The sequence below is a fragment of the Homo sapiens genome, chromosome 2 (assembly GCF_000001405.40).
Source record: "Homo sapiens chromosome 2, GRCh38.p14 Primary Assembly".
Taxonomy (NCBI): domain Eukaryota; kingdom Metazoa; phylum Chordata; class Mammalia; order Primates; family Hominidae; genus Homo; species Homo sapiens.
This window is the reverse complement of record NC_000002.12, coordinates 221124198-221132535: the sequence shown is the minus strand read 5'-3', so window position 1 is coordinate 221132535 and position 8338 is coordinate 221124198. Positions and strand designations below refer to the sequence as shown.

Genomic DNA, 8338 nt, shown 5'->3' with positions numbered 1-8338 from the left:
GAAATAGAATGTTTTAGTGGTGATTTATACCAAAGGTAAGATATGCAAGTTTCTTGTCTCAGAGAGCTTACCTTTTAGTGGGGAAGGCAAAAAACATACAGATAAACTAGCAATGTAGAAGGCAGGAATCATATCAAGTAGTGACAGCTGGCATGAAGAGAACTGAAATAGGATATGTAAAGTCACTAAGTGACCAGGGAAAAACTTTTTTCTTTTTCTTCTTTTAACTTTTCAATTTTCATGACTTGTCAGGCCTACAGAAAAGTTTCAAGATTAGAATTATTCACCCAAATTCCCCAGTGTTGAAATTTCACCATAATAACCTTCTCTCTGTTTCTCTGTCTCTCTCTCTGTTTCTCTCTCTCTCTCTCTCTCACACACACACACACACACACACACAGACATACAAACATATTTGCTTTCTCTTTCTTGAACCATTTTAGAGCAAATTGCAGACATAATGCCCCTTTTCCTCTAAATACTTAAATTTGCATTTTCTGAAAGGGCATTTTCTTACATAGCAACCTTATAATTATCAAAATCAGGAAACTAGCACTGATGCAATACTCTTACCTAACCTACAGACTTTCTTCAGTTTTGATTGATTTTCCAAATAATGTCTTTTTCAGCAAAACAAAACCCTGGAATCTGTGTGGCATTCAGTTGTCATGTCTCCTTAGTCTCCTTTAATCCAGCAGAGTCCCTCAATCTTTCCTGTGTTTCATGACCTTTACATTTTTGAAGAGTAACAAGACAATCCTTTTCTGGACTGGTTTCCTTATGATTAGATTGAGAGTCTTCACTTTTGGCAGGAATACCATTAGGCAATATTGGGCATCCTATTAAGGGGCACGTGATGTCAATTTGTCCCATTACTAATGATGTGAATTTTGATCACTTGGCTAAGGTAGTATCTGACATGTTTCTTTATTGTAAAATTACTATTTTTCCCTTTGCATTAGTAAATATTTTGTGGGGAGATAGTTTATAAATACCATTACTTCTCAAACTTTCACCCAGGTCTATAATCATAGTTCCTATAATTTTTGCCTGAATCAATTATTATTATGATCGTTTCCAAATATTAATTTCTAATCCCATCTTTCCTTCTATATTGTGTTTCCCAATTCCTTTCTGGATTTATTTATGTCAGCGTGGACTCTTAGGTTCTCATTTTATTTAGTGTCTTGTAATTGTTTACTATTATTTATCTTGATTATCTGAATGTCCAAGTGGAAGTTCCTTTGTGCTAGACCCTGTGTCCTCTGGACATGTCTCTATCATTAGATACTTCCTTACTTTCTGGCACCACAAGGTCTTCCAGGCACATCTTTTACATTCTCTGACCCAGCCCTAGAGGGAGGGCATCTTCTAGGAAAGCTTTTAAGCTAAGATTCTAATGACAAGAAGTTGGCAGACATGCAGAGGGAAGGATGGTGAGAGAACGGAGGGAAGAGAGAACAGACAGTGAGTCCAAAGACAGGGATGCCTGGTCAAGTTCAGGGATCAGAAAGGAAGCCAGTGAGGCTTAAGAAGGAAAATGATGTTGATGAAATCACAAAGATCAAGAAGCTTGCAGCAGAATTGTTATGAACAAATGTTTCTCTGTAAATAATATTGTATATATTTTTGTCATTGTCACAGAAGCTTTGAGTTTCACCTAGGCTGGTAGATGAGTATCCTCTAAGAGGGCCAACAGGTGGGAGACAGGCAGGCACAGGAAAAAGATAGCTTTGCAAAGGAGAAACAAAGGAGGTCCAGTCATGGGTCTCAGCATGGGACATCTGCTAGCAGTGGAGAGAACATCATTTCTTGCACTGATTTTTCAACAGACCCAAAGCAAAGAGCAACAGATAATAAGACAAGCTGTGGTTTTGCTGACCATCCTGGGGGAAGTGTTTGTGATTCAGCAGTTACACAGTGCAGGAGTGTAGGGGAAATAAGGTACAGAAAACGTCAGGGAAATATGGCAGCAGTAGAGGAAAGTGGAAACTATTTCAGATCTTCTGACACTGGAGAAGCTGTGTTAGAGAATATAGGGGAGACACTGAGGGGCTCCTACAGGCAGTCATCTTCCTAAACATTACTGAGAGAGATTAATCTTAGTCTAGTAAGAATAAATGTGAACATCAATGATAGGATACCTCAGAAAAGAAAAAGCACAATGCAGCCTGAGTCCTATTAACTGATAGGTCATGGAAAGAAGAGCTTATCGTTTCCTTGTGCAGCAGAATTAGTGATTAGATGATAGCACCTCTACTTCTAGCAGAAGCCTTTTAGAAACCTGTATAAAACCTGGCCACAGTGTTTGGATTCTACACGTGTTCCTTGCTTACTGTCTTAGTCTACTTGTGTTGCTAGAAAGAAATATCTGAGGCGGGGTAGTGTATAAAGAAAGGAAGTTTATTTGGATCATGGTTCTGCAGGTTGTACAAGAAGCATGGCACAAGCACATGCTTCTGGTTAGGGCTTCAGGCTGCTTCTGTTCATATCAGAAGGTGAAGGGGAGCAGGTGTGTACAGGTCACATGACGAGAGAGGGAGAGAGAGAGGAGGTACCAGGCTCTTTTTAACAACCAGTTCTCAAGAGAACTAATAGAGTGAGACTCACCACCACTCCTCCAGGGACACATTAATCTATTCATGAGGGATTTATCCCCATGACCTAAACATCTCCCATTAAGCTCTGCCTCCAACATTGGGGATCAGATTTCAACATGAGATTAGAAGAAGTAAAACACACCAAACCACAGTAAGTTTGTAAGACCCCACATTAAAAGAACTCCATTCAGATCTTGTTGAAACAGAATCACTGAAAAAGTTGGAGCAGCAGAGGGAAACAGCAGCAAATGAAGATTATCTATTATCTTTCTTTCTTTTTTTTTTTTTTTTTTTTTTTTTTGAGACAGAGACTCACTCTGTCGCCCAGGCTGGAGTGCAGTGGCACAATCTCGGCTCACTGCAAGCTCCGCCTCCCAGGTTCACGCCATTCTCCTGCCTCAGCCTCCCAAGTAGCTGGGACTACAGGTGCCCACCACCACGCCTGGCTAATTTTTTGAATTTTTGGTGGAGACGGGTTTTCACCGTCTTAGCCAGGATGGTCTCGACCTCCTGGCCTCATGATCCGCCCGCCTCGGCCTCCCAAAGTGCTGCAGTTACAGGCATGAGCCACCATGCCTGGCCTATCTTGTATTTTCTAAACTGGTCCTAAGCAAAGACAGAAACATCCAAATCCAGCTTTGCCAAATTCACAAAGCTCTCATACTCTTGATGCGTGGAAACTAATTGTCTGTTAGTCATTCCTATTTGTTGGTTTTCCCTTTCCTATATTGATTTATTTCCACGTGTGTGGATGCCTGTTTTATACAATGGCCTTACTATTATTAATAAAACTAATAAGCATTTGTAATAGTCTGTTTTCACACTCCTATAAGGAACTACCTAAGACTGGGTAATTTATATTTTTAAAAAAAGGTTTAATTGACTTACACTTCTGCATGGCTGGGGAGGCCTCAGGAAACTTACAATCATGGTGGAAGGTGAAGGGGAAGAAAGTACCTTCTTCACAAGGAAGCAAGAGAGAGAGAGAAGGGGGAAGAGCCATGCACTTATCAAACAACCAGATCTCGTGAGGACTGTATCATGAGAACAGCACGGACAAAAGTACCCTCATGATCCATCACCTCCCACCAGGTCCCTCCCTGACACATGGAGATTACGATTCGAGATGAGATTTGGATGGGGCCACAAAGCAGAGTTAAACCATATCATTTTTCCCCTGGCCTCTCCCACATTTCGTGTTCTTCTCACATTTCAAAACACAATCATGCCTTCCCAACAGTCCCCCAAAATTTTAACTCATTCCAGCATTAACCCAAAAGTCCAAGTCCAAAGTTTCATCTGAAACAGGGCAAGTCCCTTTTGCTTATGAGCCTGTAAAATCAAAAGCAAGTTAGTGACTTCCAATATGTAATAGGGGTATAGGCACTTGGTAAATGTTCTCATTCCAAATGGTAGAAATTGGCCAAAACAAAGGAGCTACAGGCCCCATGCAAATGCAAAACCCAACAGGGCAGTCATTAAATCTTAAAATTCCAAAGTAGTCTCCTTTGACTCCATGTCTCACATCCAAGCCATACTGATACAAGAGTGGGCTCCCAAGGCCTTGAGCAGCTCTACCCCTGTGGCTCTGTGGAGTATAGCCCTCATGACTGCTTTCACATTGAGTGCCTGCAGCTTTTTCAGGTGCACAGTGCAAGCTCTCAGAGGATCTACCATTCTGGGGTCTGGAAGATGGTGGCCTCTTTTCACAGCTCCACTAGGCAGTGCCCCAGTGGGGACTCTGTGTGGGGGCTCCAACCCCACATTTTCCCTCTGCACTGCCCTATTAGAGGTTCTCCATGAGGGCTCTACCCCTGTAGCAGACTTCTGCCTGGACATCCAGGCATTTCCATACACCCTCTGAAATTTAGGCAGAGGCTCCCAAAGCTCAACTCTTCTCTCCAGTTCACCCACAGGTCCAACACCACATGAAAACTGCCAAGGCTTGGGGCTTGCACCCTCTGAAGCATTGGCCTGAGCTGTATCTTGGCCCCCTTTAGCCATGGTTAGAGCTGGAATGACTGGGACACAGGGTACCATATCCCAGAGCTACACAGAGCAGTGGGGCCCTGGGACTGGCCCATGAAACCACTTTTTCCTCCTAGACCTCTGGGCCTGTGATGGGAGGGGCTGCTGTGAGCATCTCTGACATGCCCTGGAGACATTTTACCCATTGTCTTAGCTATTAACATTTGGCTCCTTGTTATTGATGCAAATTTGTGCTGCTGGGTTAAATTTATCTCCAGAAAAAGGGTTTCTCTTTTCTACCACGTAGTCAGGCTGCCAAATTTCCAAACTTTTATGCTTGCTTCCTTTTTAAACATAACTTCCAATTTCAGAACATCTCTTCTTCATGCATATGAGCGTAGACTTTTAGGAAATGCAAGGTCACATCTTGAACACTGCTGCTTAGCAGATATTCTAAATCATCTCTCTCAAGTTCAAACTTCCACAGATCTCTAGGGCAGGTGCACAATCCTTCCAATCTCATGCATAGCAGGAGTGACCTTTATGCCAATTTCCAATAAATTCCTCATCTCCATCTGAGACCACCTTAGCCTGGAGTTCATTGTGCATATCACTATCAGCATTTTGGTCAAAACCATTCAACAAGTCTGTAGGAAGTTCCAAACTTTCCCACATCCTCCTTTCTTCTTCTGAGCCCTCCAAACTGTTCCAACCTCTGCCCGTTACCCAGTTTCAAGGTCACTTCCACATTTTCGGGTATCTTTATAACAGTGCCCCAAACTCCCGGTATCAATTTATTTACTAGTCGATTTTCACAATGCTAGAAAGAACTACCTGAGACTGGGTGATTTATGAAGAAAATAGGTTCAATTGACTCACAGTTCCACATGGCTGGGGAAGCCTCAAGAAACTTACAATCATGGTGGAAGGCGAAAGAGAAGCAAGCACTTTCTTCACAAGGCAGCAGGAGAGAGAGAGAGAAAAGAAGCGGGAAGAGCCCACACTTATCAAACAACCAGATCTTGTGAGAACTCTATTATGAGAAAAGCATAGGGGAAACCACCCCCATGATCCAATCACCTCCCACCAGGTCCCTTTCCCTGACACAAGGGGATTACAATTTGAGATGAGATTTGGGTGGGGCTACAGAGCCAAACCATATCAGTGTCATTCATATTTTCATTGCTATACTTTTACTTCATATTACAATTTGTCCAACACAAATAATTTTTGATTCTTTCATCTCCATACTTCTTGAAGGTTACAGGCACAGTGCCTGGCACAAAAGAGATGCTTAATAAATGTTTGTTGAACAAAGCAATAAATAAACTTCCAAGGCTGCAGAGACACAGGTATCAGCTAAATGACCACCACCTGAGAGGATAGGGTAGTGGACTTAACAGCCATTATTTAGTGTTAGTTAAGAAATGGTGTGTGTGTTGTATTTCATCTAACCAGCTGTTATTACAAAAAGTGCTAGGTCCTCAAAATAGGTAATAAATGTTCCTTGTAATGAAAAGATGTTAAATCGTGCTCTTTGTCCGATTTGTTTTTTTGTAAATTTCCCAGGGATGATTTAAAACACGCTCTCATCATCTAGGGTTTTGTTCTTTTCTTTTTAATTGAATATTGAACTGTTTGGGTCTCTATAGAATTTAAAGATGCCTAAGGACCCATGCAAATGATCCTAGACATTCTAATCTCAAGCAAATGATCCTTTCTTCTCACTGTGAGGGCCTCAGGTTTTTCATGTATAAATTGCACATATTGGAGTTCATGCTGCCTGGCCTCTTCATCTGAACAGTCCAGAGCTCTATGGCCCCCACTAAGAGTGTGGCTATTGCCCTTTAAATACTCTGTGACCCTTATTAACTGTGACTTTATTATGGGGCTTGTTCAAAATAAAATAGAGATGCTGGAGATAAATCCGAAAAACGCATAGTTGTTGGTGTTTTTCATTAAAACTGAAGTGTAACAGTGGGATCCAAGTCAGGCATCCTTTTCTATCTAAGATCCTCCCACCTCAGTGCAAAAAGTCATATTGTGGGGGTTGTTGTGGTGACTAATACACACTACTCTTGGATGCTTTAATAGCTTGCAGGATTGGACTTGTTGACATACACGTTTTCTCATTGTCAGGGAGACTTTCAAAAGTCTGGACTGTGTCCTACTCCTCTTTCCACACCCAGCATTTAGGCCAGACCCCAGCACATAGTAGGTGTTTAATAAATAATTTTATGAATGAATAAATGTATGTATACACACATACAAACATATATACATACATGCATGTCATATATAGGATTAAGGGCTTACAGAAATCAGGAGTGAAAAAGAATACATTTAAAACAATCTTTTTCCTAAAACAAAGAATAAAGCAAAACGGAATATTTCTGCAAAATGCTGGCCGCTTGAGAATGAGTGTTTTTATAAACCACAGTGAAAGAAATTTCCGTTTGATGACAACTTTATTTTTAAAAAGGGCACAGGTGATTTATAATCTAATGCGCTAAATACTGAAGAATGTTTAAATGAATGAAAGGATGAATGAGTGAGTGAATGATTGTGATAGACACAAAGAGCTTTCTTTGGAATTGGTAGCATTATCACTCCTTCAAATCTATTTTAAATATAAATTAAAGTACACATAAACACAAACAAAATACACACCACAAAATGTCAGTATCTAACACACACACACACACACACACACACACACACAGAGTGAGAAATGCTTTCTCTTTTACTCCCAGGCTGTCCGGTGGGTCTGTAAGTAACCATACCTTTAGGAATGTGGAGAGGATAGTAACTTAAGCTGGTTCAGCAGCTCCTGAGTGGGTGGTGGAGACAGGGCAGCTCTGAATGAGCTCTTTGATGGACTCAAGCATCTCCCATCTCCAAGCGCCTCACTCTCATTAGCACTTGCCCTTGGGGCAGCCTTCTGCCAAAGGAAAGCAGACAGGAACACACCCCATGCTGGGCATTGCCACATCTCACCAGGGATTGCCTGTCTGGCTCTGTTGCTGGTGAGCCACGCAGCTTTGCAGTCCTGTTTCGCTTTCTCACATTAGGGCCATCCTTTGCCCAGCGGCTGCCTCTTCTTTCCCAGGTTGCTGACCTGCAGCCATCCATGTGCGTGGCTGCTTTGGGGGAGCTGTGGCCGTGGAGCTCAGGGCTCCCAACAGCTGGCCTTTCTCCATTGTGAACCGGTAAATGCTAAAACTTTTGCTCCATTCCCAGGGGACCCCCCATTAAATTCATTTTGTATTCACTACCTGCCAACAGGACCTGTAAGCGAGCCAAGAGGAGCAGCAGATTAAGCATAATTATGAATTCTGAGTGGAAGGGAGTAGTCTGAGATTGTTTTTCATGAAAGACCTATTTTTTTTCCTACTGAAAATTCACATAGAGGAAGTACTGAATGCTCCATGGAGTCTTTATATCGAAATGCTCTTTGCAATTAATGCTTCTTACTCCTTGTGCTTTCATGGAACAGATAGAAAACCTCTCAAACTTGAAAGCTGTTCTTGGAATTGGATTTTGGTTTGCTCAGGATTTGTATCTAATTTTCTAGAGAAGTATTATAATATTTATTAACAAGAACGGGTACTAAGTGTAACCCTCAAGTCATTTCCCAGGCTTAGTTGTCAATGAGAAGCTAATCCCTAAGGATTTCTAAACCAGCACAACTGAGTAAGGATTCAAAGGCCTCTTGCAGGCTGTTCTTGAGTGCTTAACGTGTAGTCATCAGTAACAAGTCAGTGGTACCA

General features: G+C 41.7%; 1 annotated feature.

Annotated features, from left to right (window-relative positions):
* Nucleotides 7119-7643: an enhancer, noted in NCBI's record as "NANOG-H3K4me1 hESC enhancer chr2:221989613-221990137 (GRCh37/hg19 assembly coordinates)". NCBI's record gives its function as "activates a minimal SCP1, AML or CMV promoter by ChIP-STARR-seq in naive H9 embryonic stem cells {active_cell/tissue: H9 hESC(naive)}" and the evidence as "EXISTENCE:reporter gene assay evidence [ECO:0000049][PMID:30033119]".